We start from the raw sequence: 27,856 nt of genomic DNA on the forward strand, positions 1-27,856 counted from the left end.
AGAGATGCGTGTGTCCTGTGTCCACCAGGCCTTACCTGGCTGTGCTCACTGTGTGTGGCACCGCTCCAGCTGTTCACAAACTAGATTCAGGCCTTGGCTCTCAGCTTGGATCTGCTTCCTACAGAAAATTTCTTCTGGCCCCTCCAGACTAGGCTGGCTGTCCCCACAGCCCCATGCTGCCCTATCTCCACAGTCAATACCCCAGAGAGTAACCTGCTCCAGAGGGTAACTTCTAGTTACCTGGCTTCCAGGAGGATGGCGCCTGCTTGTGCTCACCAATGCCTTCCCATCCCCTGGCACTGGAGTGTTCCTGGGGCCTGAATGAGCCCAATCTCTGCTTTCCAGGCAATTCTGGGCCAGCTCCATCCCCAGCGGGGTCACTCCTTAGCTAGCTGATATCAACCAAATTGACCGCTGGGGCCTAGGATTTTTCATCTGAAAAGGGGGCTGGAACAGAGATTTTTGCCATCTCAAAAAAAGCTTCCCATATAGCTTTTTGGGAAAACAAAACAATTAGAGGCTTATGTAAGGCATGCACCGACACTCAGACCAGGCTTTGGGGACCTTCTCAAAAACACAAATTTTAAAATAAGGCCTACGGAGTAGGACTGACTTTTCAGAGGAATGAGATAAAGACAGCTGCCAGCAAAGCTTCCCACATCGGGGAGGGCTCTCTTCAGGGGTCTAAGGGCTTCCGCTTTGCCCACACAGCCCACCAGTCAGTCAGGCCAGCACCCAGGATACGCAGTGCCTGGCAGGTGGAAGGGGAACTGGACAGTGTGTGCCTACTGGGAATGGCTCTGTCCTGTTTGCCTTGCTCCCTGCAGTAACTATGGGGCACATTTACCTCCAGTGTCAGTTTCAGGGTGTTGGGCTCATGATGCCTTTAAGTATCTTCTCTGACACACTGAACATTTCCTCCCCAAGATTCCCAGGGACCCTTGCAGAGGCTGTGGCGCTTAGGGGAGCTTACTGGCTAAGAGGTCAGCTTTGTGACCATGTCTGAGAAAAGTAGCTTATAATGGAAGTCCTTCAATGCGATTATCTATAAGATTACACTGGGACTTAGATCAAATAGCCTAGACATTTAAAGGTGCAAACAGCCCGCTTCTCCCTTGCTGCCTGACTTTAAAGATGTAAACCCGGTCGGGCGCAGTGGCTCACACCTGTAATCCCAGCACTTTGGGAAGCTGAGGTGGGTGGATCATGAGGTCAGGAGTTCAAGACCAGCCTGACCAACATGGTGAAACCCCGTCTCTACTAAAAATACAAAAATTAGCCAAGCGTGGTGGCGCGCACCTGTAATCTCAGCTACTTAGGAGGCTGAGGCAGGAGAATCGCTTGAACCCGGGAGGCGGAGGTTGCAGTGAGCCGAGATCGTGCCATTGCACTCCAGCCTGGGTGACAGAGCGAGACTCTGTCTCAAAAAAAAAATAAAATAAAATAAAAAGCAAACCTGAAGCTATTCAAAATAGGAAGAACTGGTTCTCGAAACCCCACTTCTACCAGGAGTCACCATGGCCCACTTTCCCTGAGACCCTGTAGCTGGAAGAACCACCACAAGTTCCAGACTCTGGAAACTGCCCGTGGCCTGAGGCAGGCCTCAAGGCAAGAGGAACCTCACTATTTCAGAAACACAGGATTCAGGGGAGAAACTTACACCAGCAGGATTTCAATACACGTGCTGAGGTGCTCCAGGGAATAGCTTGAGATCCTCTGCAGGTCTCTGGTCCAGTAGGGAGAAAGCTGCAGGCAAATCCTGGAGGCCCCAACACAGGCCGCAGCGACCACAGAAGGCTGGAATTTGTAGAATATGTGATCTGAAAGAAAGCCACGGAGGGAGTCAGCATCCAAATCCTCCCCTTGGAATCCCAGGCCCACCCTGAGAATGGATGGACAAATGAATCGCTTTCAAGGCTTTTCATCGCTGCCCTACAAATAGGATGGAAAATTAGAAACTGTGAAGTTCCATTTTTGAATCTTAACCTTGGCTCTTGGTCTGGGATTTATTTTTTGTTGAGACAGGGTCTCGCTCTGTTGCCCAGGCTGGAGTGCAGTGGTGAGATCACAGCTCACTGCAGCCTCAACTTCCCAGGCCCAAGAGATCCTACTACCTCAGCCTTTTGAGTAGCTGGGACTACAGGCATGTACAAACACATCTGGCTAATTTTCGTATTTTTTTGAGAGATAGGGTTTCAGCATGTAATTCAGGCTGGTATCGAACTCCTGAGCTCAAGCAATCCTCCTGCCTCAGCCTCCCAAAGTGCTGGGATTACAGGTGTGAGCCACCACGCTCAGACCAGTCTGAGATTTCTGATAGCAGCCTAGAACAGTGTTTTCAAAATACTGTCCACGGCTCCCAGGGAGCAGCAAGGAGCTTGCTGATGTTCTACAAATAGAACTGCAAAACATTTGTCCTTTCTTTGGTTATTATAAGAGAATGACACACTATTTCAAAGGCTTCCGTTTTGGGGTATGACTTAAAGCTACTTATTAATTGTAACAATGCCTGGCCCATAGTAGGCACTCAGTGAAAATCTACTGAATGAGTGGTTGTAAGACTTTGATATTTATAACTAAAATTGGCACTTAGGTTGACTGAGGAATCTTAATGTCCAACTAAGATATCTGGCCACGAGGAAAAGCTGGTGCTAAATATGTGCAAACAGTTGAAATTTCTGCAGTTTTCCTGAATGACACTGGATTTTCAGTTTATTACTCTGTTGTCTTAAATTGTTCATGATTTTTGCTGGGCGCAGTGGCTCACATCTGTAATCCCAGCACTTTGGGAGGCCAAGGCAGGTGGATCACGAGGTCAGGAGTTCGAGACCAGCCTGGCCAACATGGTGAAACCCCCATCTCTACTAAAGATACAAAAAATTAGCCACGCGTGGTGGTGGGCGCCTGTAATCCCAGCTACTTGGGAGGCTGAGGCAGGAGAATCGCTTGAACCCGGGAGGTGGAGGTTGCAGTGAGCTGAGATCGAGCCATTGCACTCCAGCCTGGGCGACAGGGCAAGACTTCATCTCAAAAAAAAAAAAATTTTTTTTCATGATTTTCAATTACTTCCACTTTTGCCTTTTAAAGATCAGTTCATAGGGCAGCTAAACAACAACAACAAATTTAAAAAATAAAGTATCAGTCAGGGTGCTAACAGGGTGATACAAACGATCATTCAGTCAGACTCCCAAGGTTCAAATCCTAGCAATGAGCAGGGCATGGTAGCTCTCACTTGTAATCCCAGGAGTTTGAGACGAGCCTGAGCAACATGGCGAGACCCCATCTCTAAAAAAATTTAAAAAATTGGCCGGGTGCAGTGGTTCACGCCTGTAATCCCAGCACTTTGGGAGGCCGAGAGGGGCAGATCACGAGGTCAGGAGATCGAGACCATCCTGGCTGACACGGTGAAACCCCAACTCTACTAAAAATACAAAAAATTAGCCAGGCGTGGTGGCGGGCGCCTGTAATCCCAGCTACTCGGGAGGCTGAGGCAGGAGAATCGCTTGAACCTGGGAGGCGGAGCTTGCAGTGAGCCAAGATCGTGCCACTACACTCCAGCCTGGGTGACAGAGCAAGCCTCCGTCTCAAAAAATAAAAATAAAAAATAAAATAAAATCCTAGCAATAACCTTGGGTAAGTTACAGCTGGGTGTGGTGGCTCACGCCTGTAATCCCAGCTCTCAGGGAGGTAGAGGTGGGAGGATAGCTTGAGCCCAGGAGTTCGAGACCTACCTGGGCAATATAGCGAGACCCCGTTCTCCACAAAAAGGAAAAAAAAAAATAAGCGCAACCTTGGGTAAGTTACAGCATCATTTTCCTCTTTTGTAAAATATGATTAATGGAGGTGATTTTGGTGTGGGGTTGCTGTGAGGTTCAAATGAGATAATGTATGCAAAGCACTGAAGCAAGACACTTGGCATGCAGTAAATGCTCAGTTAATGCTTGGGATCACAATCACTGATTTTTTTTTTTTTTTTAGATGGAGTCTTGTTCTTGTTGCCCAAGCTGGAGTTCAATGGCACGATCTCGGCTCACTGCAACCTCTGCCTCCTGGGTTCAAGCAATTCTCCTGCCTCAGCCTCCCAAGTAGCTGAGACTATAGGCGCCCACCACCACACCTGGCTAATTTTTGTATTTTAGTAGAGATGGGGTTTCACTATGTTGGCCAGGCTGGTCTTGAACTCCTGACCTCAGGTGATCTGCCCACCTCAGCCTCCCAAAGTGCTGGAATTATAAGCATAAGCCACCGCGCCCAGTCCAATCATTGATCTGGATACTCATGCCCATTTTAGTTTGTGGTAGGTTATGGGATGGTTGTATCAACAGTATTTTTTTTTTTTTTAAGACCGAGTCTCGCTGGTCAAAATGGCTGGCAAGAAGGCTGTTGCAGCATCAGGCAAGTGGCTGGATGGTATTCGAAAATGGTATTACAACGCCACAGGATTCAATAAACTGGGGTTAATGAAAGATGATACAATATATGAGAATGAAGATGTGAAAGAAGCCATAAGAAGGCTTCCTGAGAACCTTTATAATGACAGGATGTTTCACATGAAGAGGGCACTGGACCTGTCCATGAAGCATCAGATCTTGCCTAAAGAGCAGTGGACCAAATATGAAGAGGAAAATTTCTACCTTGAACCGTATCTGAAAGAGGTTATTCGGGAAAGAAAAGAAAGAGCAGAATGGGCAAAGAGGTAATCATGTAGTTGAAGTCTGTGGATGCAGCTGTTACGAAGATGGTTAAACCTGAAACAATCTTAAGAATTATTTGGTCTGCAGCTGTTTTACTTTAAATAAATATCTATTGTAAAAAACAAACAAAAAAAAGACAGAGTCTCGCTCTGTTGCCAGGCTGGAGTGCAGTGGCGCAATCTCCGCTCACTGCAATCTCCGCCACCTGAGTTCAAGCAATTCCCCTGCCTCAGCCTCCCAAATAGCTGGGACTACAGGCATGCACCACCACACCCGGTTAATATTTTGTATTTTAGTAGAGACAGGGTTTCCCCATGTTGGCCAGGATGGTCCCGATCTCCTGACCTCGTGATCTGTCCGCCTTGGCCTCCCATTACAGGTGTGAGCTACCGCGCCCGCCCCTATCAGCAGTATTTTTGACCCAGTTAACATCTAGATTTTAAAACACTGGGAAGACTGAGTTTCAAGTTTCAAGTAAGTTTCAAGTAACAGGGTAACTTTTATTGCTAAAACAGATGTAAACATAATTCCCTCTCCCCATACTATCTGTATGATGGCCGCTATTTGAGAATAACCGATCTGCAAATCTGTGCTATTTAATTCATTTGCAATGTTTCAGGTTACTGTAAGAAAAATTACCAGTTGATCTGTAAGTTTCTAGGTTTCTGGCTGCCTGCATATAAGTTGCTATTTCTCTTTTACATGTTACTGGGCGAATCCTTGCCCTTTCTTTGCTTACTGCCTGCAAAGTTAAGAGTGATCTGGGTGCACAGGCCCCAGTGAGAAGGCCTGATCTGGATGGACATGCCTTTTAGAGCCGCCTGACCCCGACCCCTGGGTGGTGGGGAAGGGGTGGGAGGTCCTGCCATCGGGTCCCAGCTGTCACCTTGCAGGGTGACCTCTAGGAAGTAATGGGCATACTCCTTGAGGCACTCTTTGGTCTTGCGGGGGCAGGTGGTGGGCCAGGTGTGGCAGTGGTGGTCCTTCTGGCTGACGGAGGCCAAGAGGTAGTAGTCCAGGAAGTGGGCAGGCGTGGGCAGGCAGAGGTTCCAGCTGAAGGCCTCCAGGAGCAGCAGCTCTGTGCTCAGCAGCTCCTTCTTGGTGAGGGTGAAGTTCTGGCTGCTCAGGATCCTCGTGCTGTTTATTTGCTCCAACTTGGGGACGTGGTCTTCCCGATCCTCGAACTTACCTGTCGGGGAGCAGGGGAAGCAGGGGTTACTGGAAGACATTTACCTGAACCCAGGAAGCTAACGGCCCACCTTACAGTGCCTGGACATTGCTGGCAAAGAAGACAGAAAGCAGACAGGCCAGACTGCGGAGGAATAGGAGCACACATTCCAGATCTGTCAAACCTAGGCTTGAATCCACAAGCCATCACTTCCCACTGGGGGATCATGGCTAGGTGTCTCAACCTCTCTGTGACTCAGTTTCCTCATCTGTAAGATGGAACCTATACTTCATAAGGCTTTTGTTAGAGTCAATGGGAAAATGCAAACCAAATGCTCAGACAAGCCTCTGGAACACAAAGCAGCCGATAGCGGTCAGCAGCAGCAGCCAGGGGCTGGGGAATAAGGTGCCCTCCCTACTCTCCATCTGGCCCTAACCAATCCAACCTCCTGGCTAGAGTCAGCATGGCCACGCAAACCTGGCCCTGTCCCTCCACGTGTAGAAAAGCTCTTCAATGGCTTCCCGCTATCCTGGCTATTGAGTTCAAACTGTGTAAACGGGGTCTTAGTGTGGGTTCCCTCTGGTTTCCAGGTCTTGGAAGGTAAGCCCAGGAAAGATCGGTAGGTGGGGGACGAGAACAGGAAAGGGAAGAAAGCCCAAAAGGACACAAGCGAGTCACCACTGTGGACAACCCGAGCTTAATCCTACTGAGGAATTCTGAGAAACAGCCTAAGACAGGCCTCAGGTTATCCTACCCACGGGTTAAAGAGCAGAGGCATTTACATAGCAACCCCGGCAGTCATCAGTTGTGGATGCTCTCAGGGAACAATGGGAGGTCCTTGTGCCCTGAGGGTCAAGACTCAGGGGCTGGTGGGGGGGCATGACAGCTTCCACTGCGTGAGGCTCTGCAGACTGTGGGCCTCTCCAGCCTCAATGTTCCTCACTCTGGGAAAACCACCCCACAGGTGGCCGTGGACCCTGTCCTTGGCAGTTCTTGCCTATAAGCCTTCATTGACACAGCCCCCTGGGCCTGGAGCACCCTTCCCCATCCCCTCCTCACTCAGCCAACCCTGACCTGTCCTTCACCTGGAGTCCCTGCCTCTCAGAAGACGCCCTCCACACCAGCCCCCTGTACTGTACGACTCCCACATCAGGTGGTGAGGCCTTCAAGGGCCTGGCCTCGGTCTGTTCACCCATGACCCCAAGGCCAGCCTCATGGGGTGTGGAGCTGCCACTAAGTAAATGCCAAAAGAGGCATTGGGGCGGCCCAGCTGACCTCAAAGCACACATCAGTGCTCACGAAGGGAAGGGCAAACAACACATGCACGCACCTGCTCCCAGCTGCAAGTGCCTCTGACCCAGTTCCCATCTCTCATGCTGCTTAGGGGAGATAAGGAAGTAACCACCACAGGCTGCTCCACAGTAGATACAACACATTCCTGAGGACGGCTCAAAAGACGTCACTGCAGAATGAATCAACCACGTCTCAGCAAGCCAGGGTTGCTCCCTTCTCGGCAAGCCTTGCAGCAGCCCACTCGGTGGGTAACGACGACCTGACACAGAGCTCTGGTCTTTGATGCAGAGGAGTCTAGTGATTGGAAATGTACAAGACAGTGAAGGGCAGAGGCACTACCAGCCCCGCACCATGCAGTTTACAGCAAGCACACATTCCATCCCTTTCCGGAGCCCAGTCACTCAGCCTGCAATGGTGCTGTGTCCGAAGTACACACTTTCTTGTCTTGCACACAAGAACAACTCAGGCAGGCCAACGCGAGGTCAAAGCTGCCCAGAGAGGAAGAGCCTCCTGCATGGCTGGAAATCCCAGGGTTGAGGCTCTGGCCGACTGGCTCTATTGGCTTTGGCAGCTCCCCCCATACTCCCCCCAACACTCCCTCTTCAAGCACAGGATCCAGCCACGTGGGACTCCAACCCCTCCCCGGGCTGGGAATGCTCTTCCCCTCACCCCCCTTATCGGTGTCCTCCAGAGCTCAGTTTAGAGACCTCCAGATATTAAACGGACTTCCTACACTTAGATTACTTGCTTAACATCAAGTATTAATATGAATGGCTGGCATCTGACTCTAAGCCTTGTAAGAATAGGAACTGAGTCCAACCCATTCGCTGCTGTGCCACCAGTTCCCAGCACATGCCTGGCACATAGTAGGTACCCAATAAATATTTGTTAAATGAATGAATAGTCCTCTCAGGAAACAGATATTTTAGGCCATTTGAATTTTTCTCTGATGATCTTGTATTCCCCAGTTTTTTCTCCAATGATCATGTATTCTTTGTGCAGTTTTTAAAAGGAAGAATTTTATTTATTTATTTTTTCCAAAGTTGCCCCGGCTCCCCTGAATCTTGTGCTGAGCCAGCCTTGGTTGCATGCACTCAGCAGAAACGAGCTCTTTCCCTCCCCAGAGCAGGAGGTGGCGAGGTGAAGGTGCACTGTACTGGGGTGGCACTAAGACCCTTGCACAGCACTGCTGGCAGCCAGCAATCTCTTAGAACTGGCAGATGTGCTCAATCAGATTAGTTTCCTCCTCCCCTCCTCGCTTTTCAAACCTTTCAGAGCTCTGCTACCAGGCCCAAGAGGATTATCCTCCAATGGAAGGCACCAGGGATTACTGCGGAATCTGATTTCACCTGCTCCCTCTGCTTCCTGGGAACGCACACGGCAGGCCACAGCCAGGCAGTGCTGGGTCTGAATCCTCAGGAGTTTGCCCTGGACCTACGAGCACTAAACTCGACAGGCTGCTTATTTGCTTATGTTGTAGGACCTTGTCCCACATGAAGATAAAATGGTGCTGCAGAATGGAAAGTGCTTCACAAGCCCCCGGCACACAGAATGGGCTGTGCTTCGAGCTGGTCATGCACTTGCTCGTGGCAGGAACCTTCTAGGTAGGTTCTTTACAATCCTCAGAGGCTCAGAGAAAAAGCTGATGGGAGAACTCAGCTTCTACACCCAGAAGCAGACTTCAGAGTTAACCTGGGCTTGGCCTGGCCAGCAGTTAAAAAGCAGCCAGAAAAGATTTTATGAGTTTCCTGATGCTGCACGTGCCTGGCAGACATTTCCTCCCTTCCTCCTGGGACTGTGAGTGGGGCTGGCCCCTTGTCCCCAGCGCTGCCACCACCAAGCACCGTTACTCAGCTGCTTCCTCCTTATCGACAAACTGCACAGGCAACAGATGCCTAGAAGACTTCAGGCGAGTCCCCTGGGAGAGGCTGGGAACAGAATTCTGAGTCCTTCCAAGCCAGACAATAGCCATGGAATCTCTGACTTCTCTGATGCACTTTTGATTTCGAAAATTTTCAAATCAGAGAAAAGATGAAAGACAACAATGAACACATAGGACCCTTCACCAGATTCTGCCCTTGCTGACCCTGATCCATGTGTGCTCTGTCTAGGTGTATTCTGTCTGTAAATACTGGTTTTGTTAGACCATTTCTAGTCAAGTTGCAGACGTGACATGCCACCCCGAACACTTCAGCATCCGTTCCTGAGGTCATTTTCCTACAAATTGTAATGTTATTAGCATTTCTAAGACATGAACATTAATGCAATCACATTTTCTAATATTCAGTCCACATCTGACTTTCTCCAGGGGTCCTAAAAATGCCTTTTATAACCTTTGTTTTGTGTTTTTGGATCCAGAATCCAAACTAGGTTCACACATGGAGTCTATTACCGCTGAAGTCCCCTTGTTTCGTTTGCTTTTCATGACACTGACTCTGGGAGAATCTAGGCCAGTTGTCTTGTAAAATGCTCCACATTCTGGATCTGCCTGATTGTTTCCTCACAATTAGATGCAGGTCAAACAGTACAGGCAAGCAAATGACAGAAGCTGTTCTGTCCTTCTCACCCACTGGACCATAGCAGGAGTCCTAGGAAACGTCACTTTGTCCTGGCTTATGTTAGATCACTTGATTAAGGTGGTGACACGAGACTGCTCCAGTTCAAGGTACCAGCTTCCCTGGGAAATTAATAAATAATCTGGGAGGGCACACTTTGTGAATATCCTGTTTCTCAACAACCTTTAGCTCAATGGCTTTGCATCCATGGATGATCCTTTTCTGAATAAATTATTATACTGGGGGTTGAAAAGGAAGTTTTAAAAATCATATCATTCCATCTACATTTTTCTTTTTGATGTTCACATTGTCCTAAATTGGAACAGCAGGAGCCCTATCAACCTCTTTTTTTTTTTTTTTTTTGAGATAGGGTCTCACTCCTGTCGCACAAGCTGGAGTGCAAGTAGCTCAATCTCGGCTCACCATATCTTCAACTTCCTGGGTTCAGGTGGCCCTCCCACCTCAGCCTCCTGAGTACCTAGGTATATAGGCACACGCCACCACACCTGGCTAATTTTTGTAATTTTAGTAGAGCCCAGGCTGGTCGAAATCCTGGGCTCAAGTGATCTGCCCGCCCCGGCCTCCCCAAGTGTTGGGATTACAGGCATTAGCCACTGTGCCTAGTCACTATCAACATACTTATAAGATTAAAAAGCATTCTAAACCTAGTGAAGCACTTCTCTGGCTCTCGGAGGCTAGGCAGACGCACGTGTACCCCCAGTGTTGGTGGTGACGGTGGTGCCTGTAAGTGATGCCTCTTATGTGCCCTCCTTTCTGCATGTGGCTGGCTGATCCCTAACACCATTTCCTGAGGCTGGCACACAGAGCTCCTGGGCAATTCGTGGCAGGTGAGGATGACCATGCATCCATCCATGTGGCCTACATGCTTAACCACAGATGAGGCCGTGGTGGCAAGATGCTGTGGATCCAGCTTACAGACTGGCTTTTTTTTTTTTAATTAGAAAAAACTTATGACAACACATAATATAAAGTTTACCATTTTTCACTGTACAGTTCAGTGACATTATATGGACACTCACAATGACGGGCAGCCATCACCACCATCCCTCTCCAGAACTCTTTTCATCCTGCTGAAACTCTGTCCCCATTAAACAATAATTCCTAGGTCCCCCCTCTCCCGAGTCCTTGGCAAGCACATTCTACTTTCTTTCTCTATGAAGGTGAACACTCTGAAGACTGGCTTATCTTCTACCTACTGTCCTGGCAATCAAGCCTCAAGGCAGACCAAACAGGATTCCTGACTCTTCTGAATTAGCGCCAAGAGAAGCAGTTATTTTTAATTGCTTAAAAAGCCGTTTCATTTTAGAAAATTTTAAATATACGAAAAGAGAGAGAGAAATGTTACTATAATGAACTCCCTTGAATGTTATTACCCAGTGCCAACAGTCATCAGCATTTACACTGCCTTTAAAAAAGCCCGAAAACTTAAAACAAAAAGGTAACCAGCACAGAACAAGGTTCTGTAGAAATTCAGCATTCTCTCATTCCTGTTGCCCAGGCTTGAGCGCGGCCCACCCCCAACTAGACAGACCGTGTTCTGCACTGTGCCCCACGAATGCCCCCAAAAGTCCTTCATGCGTGGGAAGATGCCTACTGATGGACCCATTCAGGGCTACCTGCTGCCCTTTCAGGTGCTTAACCCAGGCTCAGAGATTAGGCCAAAGTTTCCTGGCTAAAGAGAAACAGGTTTTAAAGCCACAGCTGGCTACTTTTCTTCCCTAAAGAAATGCAATGCCGGCCAGGTGTGGTGGCTCACGCCTGTAATCCCAGCACTTTGGGAGACCGAAGCAGGCGGATCACGAGGTCAGAAGTTCAAGACCAGCCTGTCCAATATAGTGAAACCCTGTCTCTACTAAAAAAATTTAAAAATTACCCAGGTGTGGTAGTGTGCGCCTGTAGTCCCAGCTACTCAGGAGGCTAAGGCAGAATCGCTTGAACCTGGGCAGCGAAGGTTGCAGTGAGCCAAGACCACGCCACTGCACTCCATCCTGGGCAACAGAGTGAGACTCCATCTCAAAAAAAAAAGGAAATGCAATGCCCCAGCCTGGCCAACATGGTGAAACCCTGTCTCTACTAAAATACAAAAATCAGCTGGGTGTGGTGGTGCATGCCTGAAATCCCAGCTACTCAGGAGGCTGAGGCAGAATTGCTTGAACCCCAGAGGCAGAGGTTGCCATGAGCCAAGATCGGGGCACTGCACTCTAGCCTGGGCGACAGAGCGAGACTCCGTCTCCAGGGGAAAAAAAAAAAAAAAAAAGAAAAAAGAAATGCAATGCCTTTAAAAACAAGCAAAGCTATTCTTCCACAAGAATGGCCGCTCTCCTATTAAAAAATCTCTTCCTCATTTTATCTGAGAATGAGAACCAGACTTTTATCAGAAGTTGAGATCCCATAGCTATCCCCATGCCCCTCCAGCAGCCACCAGCCTACCCTGCAGGTGCTGATGATAAAGGAAAGATGGTGCTGGCGGGTCAGAGGGATCAAGGACCGCCCAGTGGTACCCAGGCCTTGCCTTTTCCCAGGTGGGGCCTGACATCTATCTTCCCAGGTGCATGTGGGCAGTGCTACGCAGTCAGGTGGCAGGGACAGAAGAGGAAAGAGAAAGCTCTGGCTGAAAGGGCTTTTTCCCAGCTTTGCAGCCTTTGCTGGCAAGGGAGGCCAGTGTCCCAGGGGTGGAAGCCCACGCAGGGCCAGGCTCAATAGAGACCTTTCTGATGCTAATGCTTTTTTCTCTCAGATTCTTCCTTCCTGGAGTGGAGAAAAGTAGCCCCAGAAAAGGCAGAACTTCTACCAGCTTTATTTATGGCCTTGGAGCCGGTGTGACCAGGGACAGCCAGGATTCTGGGGGAGGTCCCCACCAGAAACAGGCAGGAATGTCCTGGAGCAGGGGCAGGGCAGGGGCTCAAGTGCCAGTTTCCCATCCTCACTCCTGGTATCATTTGTGTGATCTTGGGCAATCACCTGGAAACCCACACCTCATAGGGCAGTAGGGAGGGTGCAAGGAGTGTCCCAGGTAACATGACGGGCATGTGGGAGGTGCTCTATAAATGGTAGCAGCTGCTGTATTATTTATTGAACATGGTATTCTTTGCACTCCAGACCCGGGATCTTCTCAAGTCCTGTTATCTAGAAATATTTTCTTACAGGTTCTGAAAAAGGGGCTGAAAAAGGCCCAACAAAAGGCTCCCCTACCCTTACCCGACTCCACAGTCAACACTGTGCTGGAATGCATGGAGTGGACTGGAGTCGTTACAGCTTCCTTTCCCCAGGACTGTGACCTTGAACTCTGGCCTCCTGCTGGTGATTTCAAGGCTCACAGTCCGGGAGGAAGAAAGGGGAGTGAGTGTTGCGTCCAAGGCCTTTCCCAGATGTCCCCCTCCCCCAGGGTGAGACTTTTCCCAGGTAACCCAGTTGGGTTGCAAGAGGCAGAGAATCCACTGGGTAGCAAGAGGCAGAGAATCCACACACCAGGATGTGAGCTCTGGGAGGGCGGGGAGCTTCGTTTGGCATTTGGTTCTCTGCTGCATCCCGAGGCCCAACGCACAGCAGGCATCAAATGTGCTGGCAGACCCTGGACCACACATCTATTTACTGCAGGGTTGGGTGGGCTAGGGGGTCTGTGAACTGTGCTTGCTGTGCCCTTAACAGATGCTCTCAGCTGATTCTGGCAACGACCCTGGGAGGTTGGGGGTGTTTCCCACATGGAAACAGAAGCTCAGAAAGGTTGAGTTACCCCGATCTCCCAGCTGATAAGGGACAAAGCAGCATTTAAAAGTCTGTCTGCTCCATGAGGGTAGGGAACAAATCTGTCTTGCAGAACACCACAGATCCTGTTCACCTAGCACAGCCTCTAGCATAAAATTAATAATAGCTTTTGTGTATTTTAAAAAATGAATGAATAAATGATTCCAAAGTCCCGAGCTTTTTACATCATAAGCAGGAAACCTTATATACAGTCACAAGGCCCCCTGCAATCCTATAAGCTCCATAATAAGTGTATCTATCTGGGTGGAGGAACTTCCATGGATGTGTCAGGCTAGTTTCAGCTTCACCCCATCTAACCGCCCTGTTCTCCACAAATACTCTTAATTTTGAAAAAATTTTTAAAAATTGTTTACTTGTTGAAGAGATAGTGTCTCACTATGTTGCCCAGGCTGGTCTTGAACTCCTGGGCTCAAGTGATCTTCCTGCTTCGGCTTCCCAAAGTGCTGGGATTACAGGCATGCACCACCATGCTTGGCCCTTCCACAAATTCTCTTGACTTCAATCTCTCCTTTGCTTACGCTACTTAGCAATTTAATTCCAGAGCCTTTCCACTAAAGAGCTATATGATCAACAGGACTTAGTTTTTTCTTCCAATGATAGCATTTAAGTCAAAGGAGTGGCTCTCTAACAGGAAACTTTTTGTACTAAAGGTGCTCCCCAGCCTGACTTTTTTTAAAAAACAGAAACTCTCTTTGACTTCTTGCAGTTATTGAAGGCAAGAAAGGTGCTTCCTACTCTTGGCAAAAAAAGGCACTGCTCATACGCCCAGCAGACAAGCGTCTTTCTGAGGAACCAGGGGAGACAGATTTTGAGCAATTGATGGAGAGGGTGTGAAACTACTCTGAGGGCACCATGCTCTGGCAGGCTGTTTTTACTGTGTAAGGCAGTGCAGCGGGCAGTGCCCACACTCTGATGATGACTGTCCTGGATTCTACGGAGTGGCAGCCGCTTACTAGCCATGTGGTCTGGGGTAAGTCACAACTTCTTGGACCTGTGTTTCCTCATCTGTGAAATGGGAAGAAGACAAGTAGATAGAATTGTGGTGAGGGTGACATGATGGCTTAGTGTGCTTAGAACAGCACCCTTTGTAAACTTGTGCTCAATTCAGAGCCAGCCCTGTAATGACAGTCACAGCTACAATGACAGTGGTTTGGTTTCTGGATGAGATTTGGTGTAGGGGAGAGAGAAAGCCAGGGACAAAGCAAGAAAACCCTTCATCTGTAAGAGGGTGCTTCAGTGGTGCTCAAGGAAGGGAGAAAGCTGAGAGGACCACAGGGGTTGGAGGCCAGGTAGCCTCCCCTTAAGTCCCCTTAAGGACCTGCTGTAGCTGCATCCAAGATCTCTGGCCCATTTCTGATCCTGTAGTTAGGAAACATCCTGGAGAAACAGGCCTCCAACACCAGCCATTCCTGGGCTTCCAAAGTCCGCTGGGTAGACCTGGTGTGAAGGTGGATCTGGGTACCCTGCCTGGCTGAGCTTCCTTTCTCCCTCAGGAAATCAAGAAAAAGCTCTCTTCTTCTCCTTCCTCTCTCAAGAGCAGGGCTGCATCTCCAGTCTCTGGCACAGAGGCCTTGATAAATAATCAACGAATGGATGGAAGGACGGATGGATGAAAGAATGAAAGCAAGCCCATTTCTGACAGGCTGAATCAATTCCTGAGCCCAGTTTTAAAAAGAGACCAGAGGTGAGGTTGTGGGTGGTTGTTTTCTTTAGGAGGAAATTGTGAAAATGCCTTCTAGGTCAGAGGTGGCATTCGGCCAGCTGGGTCACCCACGGGCTTCCCTTCTTGCTGGGAGGACTTCCCTGTGTCAGGAAGGAGAAACTGCTGTGATGACATCACACTGCGGCCTCAGGCAACCCCTGGTTCCTTTGTGCTCCGCTTTACACGTGACCCAAATAAGTGTCACTGACTGAAAGCAGGGCCTGCGGGGTGGGGGCCATTTGTCACCCGAATAGCTGGCATCTGGGGCCTGCATCCCACAAGTGCTTCTGTCCTCGTACGGAGGATAGGAGTTATCTCCTGTCACGAAAGAAGGTTTCGGTGTCACTGCTTTAAAGAAAGCTCACTCCTAACTCACCAGGGGCTGCCTCTGGCCCAGGTCTGACGGCACTGCTGCGCTGAACGTGTGGGCACTGGGGACCCTGATCCTTTGTTCCGACCTATGCGGGGAACAGGGAGAAGGAAAAGGAGAGGCCATCTTGGGTACCGCCCTTGTGGTTCAGAGGGGAGATGCTTCCAGATACAAGAGCTGGTCCTGAGGGCTGATGTTTTCATCGGGGTCAGCACAAATGCTGCTCTGCTGGCTCAGAAGGAAGTGTGCCCAGGAGTCTCCCAGCAATCTCTCCGCGTTCTGACCTGAATCTTCCTGGCACAGCCAAGGAAGGACGTGGTCTGGCTGTACAACTAGGGCCATAGTTGTACAGTGGCTGAGAACCACTGAGTCAACCCCAAGGTGACAACCTGTGTCCCCATTACTAGGCACATCCGAGCTGTATGCTTTTAGGGAAGTGTCCTAACTTACTGGGCCTCGGATTCTTCCTCTGATACTTGCGGAAAATACAACTACAGCCTACCTTATAGAATTGTTTTGAGGATTAAATTAGTAAATCTGTGTAAAAAATTCAGAACACTGTGTGACATATAGGCTGGGCACAGTGACTCATGCCTATAATCCCAGCACTTTGGGAGGCCGAGGCTGGTGGACTGCTTGAGCACACAAGTTAGAGACCAGCCTGGGCAACATGGCAAAACCTTGTCTCTACCAAAAAAAAAAAAAGTCTGGGCGCAGTGGCTCACGCCTGTAATCCCAGCACTTTGGGAGGCCGGGGCGGGCAGATCACTTGAGGCCAGGAGTTCAAGACCAGCCTGACCAATATGGTGAAACCCTGTCTCTACTAAAAATACAAAAATTAGCTGGGTGAGGTGGTGGGAACCTGTAATCTCAGCTACTCAGGAGGCTGTGGCAGGAGAATCATTTGAACCTGGGAGGCGGAGGTTGCGGTGAGCCGAAATTGCGCCACTGCACACCAGCCTGGGTGACAGAGCAAAATGGTGTCTCGAAAAAAAAAAAAATTAGCAGGGCCTGGTGGTATGGACGCGCCTGTGGTCCCAGGTACTGGGAGGCTGAGGTGCAGGGAGCCGTGATCATGCTACTGTACTCCAGCCTGAGTGACAGAGTGAGATCCTGCCTCAAAAAGATAAATAAAAATAAACAAACACTCAATAAACATTAACGATCCCATCACCACTGAGGCTAGGATTTACCCTCCACCCGCAGGTTCCGATTATAGAAAAGAGAAATGTAGTGAGATTACAAGTGATTTTTATTTTGTTATTTTTATTTTTTCCCATCTTCTGGTTTTCTACAGGAACAAATATTACTCTCCTGCTGATAAAAACACTTTAAACTCCTCAGAAGGCAAGACTCTGCTGCTGGGAATCTAGAAGCCAGAGCTAGCAGAATAACTGCCAGAGAACATTCCAGAACGTAGGTCTGCTCCAGTCCAAGAATATCTCGGCATGAACCTGTTTTACAAGTACCTACAAGTCGGGAGGCATCAGACTTTCCTAGAAAAGTCCCAGAAACCTCACTATGTCGGTGACAAAGAGAGACTTTTCCTGTCTAGACACCACAATGCTTGTAATTAAAATTAAGATTTAGGAGGTGGAGGGAGGCAACACACACTCCTTGAAGACAATCTCAAAAATCCAGGTAAATGCTCCACACATAAAAATAATCTCTAATCTTAGCACCAAGGGATAGAATAGGCCAACATATCTCGTTCGAGTCTGAAACGGATTTCAAAATCAACCAAAGCTGCCCTGCCAGTGCTAGCTATCACAACTGACAATACTGACAGGTAAGTGCTTGGGTGGTGAGGGGTGGGCTGCTGCGATCAGGGGCTCCTGAACACCGCATGTTCAATTAATTATTCGTGCAGCTTGAAATACAACCCCCACTCCCGGAAAACAAAAATAAAATTAAAATAAAAAAAAGCCATGCAGAGCCCGGAAAGTTAGGCCCTGGACAAACAGGTCTGGGTGTTAAACTTGCTAAGGCAAATTGAACAATTTAAGAGCTTCCGGCCCAGCCAGCTGTCTGACAGGCAGTTTACACAAAATCCCTCCCCTGAAACAGCTCTAAGCCTGCCAGTCTGCAGAGATGGGAACAGGAAATGGAAAATCACCATGTCCTCCGCTCACTGTGCTGTGACATTCGAGCCCCGTGCCCAGATTTGCTCAGCATGGCCCTCACTAATGTGACAGACCACCTTTTCCAGTTGCCCTGTGCCGCGTGGCCACCACGCAAACGTCACTGATTAGAGAAGCACCATTGATGTCATGGCAGTGTTTTGGAAGAAAGATAAGCAATAGTCACTTTAATTGCACACATCAAATGTAAGACCTGTTCTGATTCCTGAAATGTTCAAACATTGAAAGGCTCAAGCATTTCAAATGCTCTCCACGGCAGGAAGGAAATGGAGTTTCCTCCTGACCACTCTTGCATGAGATGTAGGGAGCTATTAAATTATCTCCTGCAAGGGCGCTGCCACGTTTCCTTGAAGATTTAGGTTTAATTCTATCAATAAATCTCATGTTTTGTCAGAAATACACCCCTGAAAAAGACCACCTGGAAATATTGCCCCATTTGCAGCTGCTGCCTACAATTAGAGCCGTGGAGGCATCTCAAGCATTCCCAGCTTTGGGGAGAGCTGATGTATTTAACTTCTCCAGGCTAGGAAGCAGCATATTCATTCATCCTTGTCGACCAGAAAGGATTAAGACTGCTTTCAAGTTTCTGAAATCTCCAGTGGGGAGACCCCATCCCGTCCCCTGCCTTGTTGTCAAAGAAGCTGCTTTTCAGAAGCAACAGTTGCCAAGTAATCAAAGCAGGGGTGAGTGGGGGATGGAGGATGCAAAGGGGAGTGATGCTGGTTTACTGGGAGGAAGACAGGCCTCTCCTAGAATCTCCTGAAGCCCCACTGCAGGTACCTGGCAGGCAATAGCTTTTAGTGGTATCTGCCCTAAGACATGAGGCTTAACAGGCACTAAAAGCAATCAGTCTGGAAAGGATTCCTTGTCTGTGCTTCCTGGATAGGGAAAGGCAGAAATGCAGGGCAAAGGCTCTCGTGGCTGGGAGCACAGAAGAGAAGCCCCAAGTGGACACGGGTGAGGGGCCGGGATGGAGAAGAGACATTGCTTGTTCTTTTATAGTTTATTGTTTAGGTAGAGAGTAAGTCAAATAAATGTTTTTCTGGAAGGCAGCTGTGCTCACCACTGTACCACCAATGCTAACAGTTCCAAAGGCTCCCACAAATGAAGTCAAATTTACGGAAAAACGGGTCTCATCAGCTGTTGGTTGAGTTAAAACTTCTGTAAGGCAATTTGGCACTACTTATCAAAATCTTCAGTGTTACCTACCTGTTGACCAAAACAATTCCACCTCTGGGAATTTATCTTACAGACAGACTCATGTAAGTTTGCAAAGATACAGGGAAAAAGCCAGTCACTGTACAGCAGTGAAAAAAAGAGATGGCAACCTGAATGTCCAAAAATAGAGAAATCATTACATAAATGACAGTGTTTATAAAACAAAGGACTTTGCAGTCAATAAAAAGAGTGAAGTAAATCCACAAGCGCTGATGGAAAAAGAGGTTCCGTAACATACTATGAAGAAAGCACCTTTAGCAGTAACCCAGCTGTGTAAATATATCTGGTCAATTCTTGTTATTCATGTCAGTTATGCTCTATAAAGCCATTGTGAACACTGAATTAGTGAATACTGAACCACTGCTCCTAGGGGAAGGTACAAGGTTAGGTTCCTGCAAGGCTCTGATCACAACATTTCATCAACTGATCAGCCTATAACTTTGTGTTGTGTATTTGTTTAATACATTAATTCATTAATATTGAACTCATGGCCAACAGCATTATAACTTCTGCCTGAACACAGCTTCTCTAACAGAGGCTTTTTTCTACAAGGCACATCACAGCCTTCTTGACCTTGGGAGCTCTAGACAGCACTTCAGCTCTATTCTTGGAGACTTGTTGACACCAAAATCACCAACAAAAAGCACAAAAATATGAAAAATGTGGCACTAAGTCCACTAAAAACACATTTGTTTACAGTGTGAGAGGTGAAAGAAGAAGACAGAGTGCTTCTTACTGGGTCTCAGCTTGGAATATGGGTATGGGTCAATCCATATGGGACACACAGCTCTGTGCGTGTTTGCAAAGCACCACGAAAGTGCCGCCACTTTTTTTTTTTTTTTTTTTTTTGAGACAGAGTCTCACTCTGTCATCCAAGCTGTGGTACAGTGGCGCGATCTTGGCTCACTGCAACCTCTGCCTCCCAGGTTCAAGCAATTCTCCTCCCTCAGCCTCCCGAGTAGCTGGGACTACAGGTGCCCACCACCACAACCGGCTAATTTTTTTGTATTTTTAGTAGAGAAGGGGTTTCCCCATGTTGGCCAGGCTGGTCTCGAACTTCTGACCTCAGGTGATCCACCCACCTCGGCCTCCCAAAGTGCTGGGATTACAGGCGTGAGCCACTGCACCCGGCCTACAAAAGAGTTTTAGCAAGTAGGCAAATTCGCAAGAACAGAACCCGTAATGAGAATCAACTGTGTTTGTATATCCATGGAACAATTCCAGAAAAATACACCAGATCAAATTCAGAAGAAACTGTTCCCAGGGGTTACCTGGGATTGGGAAAAGGATTTTTATTTTATTCTTTGGATCTCACTTTACAAGTGAGTATAATAATTGTAATTTTAAAAATCTATAGTAAGGGCCAGGTGTGGTGGCTCACGTTTGTAATCCCAGCACTTTGGGAGGCCGAGGCAGGCAGATCATTTGAGGTCAGGTGTTTGAGACTAGCCTGGCCAACATGGTGAAACCCCGTTTCTACTAAAAATAAAAAAATGAGCTGGATGTGGTGGTGTGTGCCTGTAATCCCAGCTACTCAGGAGGCTGAAGCACGAGAATCACCTGAACCCAGGAGGCAGAGGTTGCAATGAGCCAAGATCATGCCACTGCACTCCAGCCTAGGTGACAGAGTGAGACCTCGTCTCAAAAAAAAAAACAATCTGTAGTAAGGAGATGGGCCTTTTCACAGGTAAGCTCAGCACAGCATGACTGACTCACAGAGCTAAGGGACCCTGCTCTGCAGGAGGACCAGAGCCAGAGACGGGGGCTTTCCCACCCCCCTGAAAGAAAGGCCATGCGACCACCTCCTGCCAGACACTTCTCCTAGGGAGGAGGACAGGGGCCAGCACGAAGGTCAGCACAGGATGTGGCCCCACCTACAGAAACCAGAAGTCAGAACTTTACTGTAAGAGTCAGATCTATCAGCCTCACCTTCCACTGCTTTTCACAGACAACAGGCAGTGGGCCAGGGGCAGGAGGGGCTCAGAGGACAGAGGAAAACCACTCACCAGTGAGAAACCTTGTTTTCTCAGGGACAGGCTCAGGCTCAGGGTCCGGAAGTGACAGTGAAAGAAAACAGAAAAAGTACGATGGAATTGCCATTAGATGGGGAAGAAAAAGGAAGAATGGAAAAGGAAGGAAGAGAGGGAATCTGGCAGTTTTGTTCACTGGGTAGTGTGTAGGGGTGTAATCTATGATTCATTTTCCCCCCATAAATGAAAATAAATTTTCCCAGCTATGAAAACACATCTAGGTTTGGAAGGATTTGTGTGTTTTTTTTTTTTTTTTTGAGACAGAGTCTTGCCCTGCGGCCTAGGCTGGGGTGCAGTGGTGCAATCTTGGCTCACTGCAACCTCCGCCTCCCGGGTTCAAGCAATTCTTCCACCTCAGCCTCCTGAGTAGGTGGGATTACAGGTGCGTGCCACCATGCCTGGCTAATTTTTGGAATTTTTAGTAGAGAGGGGGTTTCACCATGTTGGCCAGGCTGGTCTTGAACTTCTGATCTCAAGTGATCTGCCCGCCTTGGCCTCCTAAAGTGCTGGGGTAACAGGCTTGAGTCACCGTGCCCGGCTGAGGTCTGGAAGGATTCACACAAAACTGTGGGAGTGGGACTGTGAGCAAAGGGGAGAAACTAATTTTTCACACTAGGTACTTCTGTACCTTTCAGGTTTTTTGTGTTTGTTTGTTTTGAGATAGGGTCTGGCTCTGTGGCCCAGGCTGGAGTGCAGTGTCAAGATCTCAGCTCACTTCAACCTCCACCTCCTGGGCTCAAGAGTTCCTCCCACCTCAGCCTCCCAAGTAGCGGGGACTACAAGCACGTGCCACCACACCTGGCTAAATGCTTTCAGGTTTTTAAAAGTAAAAACGTATCTCACACTTCTTGTGCAAAATAATAAGGTCTTACAGTTAAGGCCTAGCTACCCTAGCAAAAGGTCACCTCTTGCCCTCCTGGCTTTCTCCCCAACCCTCCCTCCCTCCTCAGGCTGGTCCATGCCCTGGGGCCAAAGACTCAATACTGCAGTCATCTCCAGGCAGCAACCACCAAGCAAAAGCAAACCTCCAAGGTGTCTCAAAAAGTCCAACATAAAATTACCACATGACCCATAATCCAACCCATAGGCATATACCCAAAAGAATTAGAAACCAGTGTTCAAATATAACTGGTACCCAAATATTCACTGCAGCGCTGTTCACAACAGCCAAAAGGTGAAAACAACCTAAACATCCATCAACAGATGACTGGATAAACACACTGTGGGATATACAATGGAATATTATTCAGTCATAAAAAGAAATGAAGGCTGGGCACTGTGGCTCACGCCTGTAACCCCAGCACTTTGTGGGACCGAGGCGGGTGAATCACCCGAGGTCAGGAGTTCGAGACTAACCTGGCCAACATGGTGAAACCTTGCCTCTACTAAGGATACAAAATTAGCCAGGCATAGTGGGACATACCTGTAGTCTCAGCTACTTGGGGCGGTGTGGGTGGGGGGTGGGGCGCTGAAGCAGGAGAATTGCTTGAACCTGGGAGGTGGAGGTTGCAATGAGCTGAGATCATGCCACTGCACTTCAGCCTGGGCGATAAGAGCGAAACTCCGTCTCAAAAAAAAAAAAGAAAAAGAAAAAAAAAAGAAATGAAGTACTGATACATGTTGCAACATGGATGATCCTTCAAAATTCTGTATGAAGAGAACAATGCTAGACACAAATGGTCACATATTGTATAATCCCCTTTATATAAAATAGCCAGAATAGACGAATCCATACAGACAGAAAGCAGATTAGTGGCTGCCAGAGCTGGGGGATAGGAAGAAACGGCAAGTGACTGCTTAATGGGTACGAAGTTTCCTTTTAAGGTGATAAAAATGTTCTGGAAGTAGAGAGAGCGTGAAGGTGCTAAACACCACTCAACCGTACACTTGAAAATGGTTAAAATCCTGAATTTTATGTTGTGGCATGAATTTTATCTCTCTTTTTTTTTCTTTTTTGAGACAGAGTCTTGTTCTGTCACCCAGGCTGGAGTGCAGTGGCATGATCTCAGCTCACTGTAACCTCTGCTTCCCAGGCTCAAGCAATTCTCCAGCCTCAGCCTCCCATGTAGCTGAGACTACAGGCATGAGCCACCAACACCCAGCTAATTTTTGTGGGTTTTTCTTTTTAGTAGAGACAGGGTTTCTCCATGTTGGCCAGGCTGGTCTTGAACTGCTGGCCTCAAGGGATCTGCCTGCCTCAGCCTCCCAAAGTGCTGGGATTACAGGTGTGAGCCACCGTGCCTGGTTGTATTTTTCTTTACAAAAACAAACAAACAAACAACAACAACAAAAAACCCACAAACACAACCCCACACTACAAGTTGGGCAAGTTTTGTGGCCTCTCTGAACCTATAAAAAGGGCGGGTGACAGCACGACCGCATAGGCTGGTCGTGAGGATCCGTGCGATGTGTGTAAAGTGCCTGGCATGGGGTCCAGCATGTAGAAAGAACAGTAAGGAAGGAAGCCACAGCCGCTGTGATGCCGATGATTCAGGGGCACTGCCAAAGCCAACTCACCTGGAAGTTGTGGGATTTCCACGTTGTCAAATTATCCTTTTAATTAAACAACAGGAAGAACAAAAAGACATTGCAGGAGGGGTGCTGTATAAGATGAAAGATTAAAGAAGAGGGAGGCTCAACTTCATTTACTGTTTAGTGATCTCTATACTATATTTATGGTAGAGTTCTATCCTGTGTTAAGGTAGGAGACGCAAACAATGAACTCTGAGGGAGAGAGGGTGTCTTTGCCACATGTCCACTGTGGAATGACGAAATGCTCTCGCTTCTTCTGCCTCCTCCTGTGGCCCGCAGACATGGGTCCCTGGCTGAGCCCTGTTGGACGGGGCAGAAGGGGCTGTAGGTAGGTGAGAAAATCCCATCTCTGCTTCCTGTCTATCTGTTTTTTTTTTTTTTTTTTGAGATGGAGTTTTGCTCTTGTTGCCCAGCCTGGAGTGCAATGGCGCCATCTTGGCTCACTGCAACCTCCCTGTCCTGGGTTCAAGCAATTCTCCTGCCTCAGCCTCCTGAATAGCTGGGATTACAGGCGCCCATCACGCCTGGCTAATTGCTTTTTTTTTCTGAGATGGGGTTTCGTTCTTGTTGCCCAGGCTGGAATGCAATGGCATGATCTCAGCTCACTGCAACCTCTGCCTCCCGGGTTCAAGCGATTCTGCTGCCTCAGCTTCCTGAGTAGCTGGGATTACAGGCATGCACCACCATGCCCAGCTAATTTTGTATTTTTAGTAGAGATGGGGTTTCTCCATGTTAGTCAGGCTGGTCTCAAACTTCTGACCTCAGGTTATCCGACTGGCCTGGCTAATATTTTTGTATTTTTAGGAGAGACAAGGTTTCATCATGTTGGCTGGGCTGATCTCAAACTCCTGACCTCAGGTGATCCACCTGCCTCTGCCTCCCAAGGTGTTGGGATTATAGGTGTGAGCCACCGCGCCCAGCCTTCCTGTCTATCTGGAAGCAGATTTAAAAACCTGAGATTGACAGGTGGGGGGGCAAGAACCCCAGCTCTTCTTATCTCAGAATAATTTGGTACCAAATTAGCAGATCTCCAAACTTCCCGAGGCAAGGGGATCCCCCTTGTGGCCCACAATGGCCTGGGGAGAGGGGAGGAGGGAAGAATAGGATTTCAGGCTGTCATGGAAACTTTTCTTCCCTCTGGTCTCTGCAGCATATGGCAGGTGTCCTGAAAAATCTGTTCCTGCTGCCCGAGGCTGTGCTGCCCTCAGACACGTGGGTGGGGGCGTCTGCCTCTCTGTCTGAAACGTCCCCTCTCTCCGCCAAGGTGGCAGCAGCACAAAGGAGTCTCCAGTGTGTGCCTCACATCCCAGCTCCCCAGACAGACACTCGGGGAGAGCTTCCATGGCCCCATGGAAATATAAGTCCCCTGCCCCCAGCGGGCCGCGATGCAGCCCACAGATCACAGACAGCAGCAGGCCAAAGGCCGTGGCGCAAATTTCTCCTGTGCTGCTTGAAATACGATGCCCAGTGTGCCCTCCACAGCCGGAGATGTTTCACAAGCCCCGCAGACGAAAGGGGGCTGCACGTTGATTTGGGGTGCTGAGACAGGCTGGACACCCAGCAAGACTGGCTCGCATGTGTAACAAGGGAATCCAGTTGGCCAAAGGTAGAGAAAAATCACCAAATGTGGGGCTATGAGCCTAAAGCAGCCAATGGGATCACGAACAACAGCAGGTAAAAGGTGCCAGCGTGGAAAACGAGACAGAATTCTGAAAACTCTAAATCTGTGCTTCCGGAACTGGGTGATCGTGCCCATGGGGTTTATGGAAGCCTGCCAAAAGCAGACAAAGCTACAGGAGAAAGTGGGTGCCATAGTCCTGCAGCACCAAGCAGGATGAAGGATGGAGGGGCAGGGAGGGGAAATGAATAATGAAATAGGACACAAACATATCTCAGAGGAGAATGTAAAATCTGACTGTCAAGGATAAAATACCAGATGTCAAAGAAATGTCCTAATTGTACCTGGCCACTTTGAGCCTGAGGCCTCTGGGGCATTCCATTCCTCTGCATTAGGGCAACTATAGAAGTATAGAGGCCTGGCTCTCAAGGAACCATTAGCTCCATTAGTTTCATTGATTACACAGATTATTTTTGAGGTCTTACTATGTGCCAAGCTCCTTTCCATCCCTGAAACTTGCTATCCATGGGGGGTGGTGGTTGTTCATTCAAAGCACATGACGCTGAGGGTCTGCATACTTGGGAGACCTCACCTGCTGAGGGCAGTGGGGGAAGGTTTTCACAGGGATCTAGAGCCTCGGTGATGTTTACCCAGAACCAGGTGGGCAGCGGGAGGGAGGGAGAAGCAATCCAGGTAGAGGGAACAGCATGTGCAAAGCTCTATGACAAGAGGGGGCTTGGCCAGTGTGGCTGGAACCCAGGAAGTGATGAGGAGAAAGGCACAGGGCAAAGAGGCAGGAACTCAAGGGTTGGTCTTTAACCTAAGACTGCCAGTAAACCATGGGATGATGTTAAGTGGAAGGGTGGCATGGCAGAACTGTGTTTTAAGGAGATCATCCGAGTAGCAGCGAATTAACACAGTAATCTCTACCAAGGCAGACAGACAGATGGTCAAAGCTACGCTGTGTTTTTAGTGAGGCCTGTTTGGAAGGTGCAAACCCCAAGAGGGCTGTGCCCAGGCCTGGTGACCACACAATGGGTCCTGCTTAGGTCCAAATCAAGCAGTCACATTTCAAAACACCTTATGAACAGTGGTTGCTAGGGTTCCCCTCCCAGCACGTTCATATCCCCCATACCAGGAAGCAGGAGACAGGAGGTTGAGGGCACAGGTTCTGGCACCAGGCAGTTCTGGGCTCAAATCTTGTCTGCCATATACTACCCGGGCAGCCCAAAACTGGCTTCGTCACCTCTCTGTGCCTCTGTAAAGTGGGGTATACTAAGAGTATCTGCCTCCTAGGGCCACTGTGTGGATTGAGACAAGCTGCTAACATCCTTATCACTTGGTCTGGTACATTAAAGATGCTAAAAAATGTTGCATCTAAAAATGTTGATGCTAAAAAACGCTCAGTGAAGGATGAACATATAAGACGTGCAAAGATCGTCAAAATGTAAAGTGATTTGGAAGCAGCCAGGCGCACTGAGCGGGAGGAGACCGCACAAGCGCGGAGGAAGACGTAGGTTTTCGCTTACTTGCAAGCAGGAGGCAGGAGACGGCCACGGTGTAGAGCTGCTTGGAGGTGGTGACGTTGTAGCGATCCATGAAGTGGTCCAGCAGGTAGACGGCCAGGTGCCGGGCTGCAGGGCAGAGCTGGCAGTGGCTGCTCAGCAGGGTCAGGATGTCCACGAAGAACCGGCGGCTCTTCAGGAGTGGGGAGTGGGCTCGGAAGGTGGGCAGCTTCAGTTCCTGGAGGACAGGCGGGGCGGAGGGGTGACGGTCAGGGCTGCCTCCTGAGAGTCTCGGCTGTCCCAGGAAATGGGACCTCAGGGCCTGAATGGGAGGCAACGATTCCCTCCATACCCTTCTTAGTTTTCCTGCAAGTCCCAGGATGGCAGCCCCGCCTGGGCTATCTCCCATCTGCTTTCACTAAGCACAGGCTCATAAAGTATCAAGGACCTAGAGGATGACAGAGGAAGCCAGTCATTCCTTCCCATGGGAAAGGTTTGCTATTTGAGATACACAAGGCCATAAAGGAATAAAGGCATTGGGGTCAGAGGTCTAAGTCCAAATTCTTTTTTTTTCCCCTAGGGTCTGGTCTGAAGTAACACATCCAAATTCTGGTTCCACTACTCAGCCAAGTTGTGTGACCCTGGTCACCTGCCATCACCTTTGTTTCCTCCTCGAGAGCTGAGAACTAAATTTAAAATGTATGCAAAATGCCTAGCACACCTGTGACCTCTCAGGATCCACATCTAATTCTTTCTGAGGGTAGGATTACGAGAGACGGGTTTTTGAAAAAAATCAACCTAAAAAAGTTGTTGAAATAATAGTACAAGGAACTCCCAAATACCCTTCACCTCAATTCCCTAATTTTTGACATCTGCCTTCTTTTTCTCTACATGCATATACATTTTTTTTCTAAAAGTAAGTTCAGATATCATGATACTTCCCACACCCCTGGGAGGTGACTAGATGACTTTTACTTCTACTTTGCAATATATATACTGCCACATTACCTTATTTTATTTGTCTAACTCAAGAAAAACCAATAAAAGATATCAAACCAACAAAGTTTTTTACAACATAATAATGTTCTTATATGCAGTATCTCTCATATTTACCGTTCAATCAAAGAAGATTAGACACTATTTGTTTGTTTGTTTGTTTGTTTGTTTAAGAGAGGAGTCTCCCCCTCTTACCCAGGCTGGAGAGCAGTGGTGCAATCACAGCTCACAGAAGCCTTGAACTTCTG

At 48.4% G+C, this 27,856-nt stretch overlaps 1 protein-coding gene, 1 long non-coding RNA gene and 1 pseudogene across 13 annotated transcripts in view, besides 2 other annotated features; 2 read left to right on the forward strand and 1 right to left on the reverse strand.

Moving 5' to 3' along the window:
* CCNJL (cyclin J like) overlaps positions 1-27,856 on the reverse strand; it is a 90,488-nt gene that overhangs the window by 4,806 nt on the left and 57,826 nt on the right. For 2 of the 11 annotated variants that reach the window (XM_011534646.4, NM_024565.8), the window contains 4 exons: positions 26,637-26,850; positions 22,381-22,524; positions 5,581-5,883; positions 1,661-1,820 (listed from right to left, as the gene is read on the reverse strand). In XM_011534646.4, the coding sequence (XP_011532948.1) occupies positions 1,661-1,820; positions 5,581-5,883; positions 22,381-22,524; positions 26,637-26,706 (677 nt within the window). In that variant the 5' untranslated portion in view covers positions 26,707-26,850. Of the gene's footprint in view, positions 1-240; positions 448-1,660; positions 1,821-5,580; positions 5,884-7,192; positions 7,370-15,574; positions 15,657-22,380; positions 22,525-26,636; positions 26,851-26,964; positions 27,760-27,856 lie in introns of those variants that run through there. The other 9 variants (NR_131769.2, XM_006714917.5, XM_047417701.1 and 6 more) reach the window with 9 other exon arrangements.
* LOC727947 (ubiquinol-cytochrome c reductase binding protein pseudogene) lies at positions 4,351-4,812 on the forward strand (annotated as a pseudogene).
* Positions 7,383-7,522: an enhancer, noted in NCBI's record as "active region_23558". NCBI's record gives its function as "activates an Ori minimal core promoter by ATAC-STARR-seq in GM12878 lymphoblastoid cells {active_cell/tissue: GM12878}" and the evidence as "EXISTENCE:reporter gene assay evidence [ECO:0000049][PMID:35858748]".
* Positions 14,378-17,177, forward strand: LOC105377691 (uncharacterized). 2 transcript variants are annotated; one of them, XR_007059027.1, is made up of 3 exons: positions 14,378-14,466; positions 15,037-15,180; positions 16,866-17,177. It is a non-coding gene; the product is annotated as an uncharacterized LOC105377691 (long non-coding RNA). The 2 variants fall into 2 exon arrangements; XR_007059026.1 differs by having other exon boundaries at positions 14,392-14,466; positions 15,032-15,180.
* Positions 24,867-25,394: an enhancer, noted in NCBI's record as "H3K27ac-H3K4me1 hESC enhancer chr5:159705762-159706289 (GRCh37/hg19 assembly coordinates)". NCBI's record gives its function as "activates a minimal SCP1, AML or CMV promoter by ChIP-STARR-seq in primed H9 embryonic stem cells {active_cell/tissue: H9 hESC(primed)}" and the evidence as "EXISTENCE:reporter gene assay evidence [ECO:0000049][PMID:30033119]".

This window comes from Homo sapiens, chromosome 5 (genome assembly GCF_000001405.40).
Source record: "Homo sapiens chromosome 5, GRCh38.p14 Primary Assembly".
Classification (NCBI taxonomy): Eukaryota; Metazoa; Chordata; class Mammalia; order Primates; family Hominidae; genus Homo; species Homo sapiens.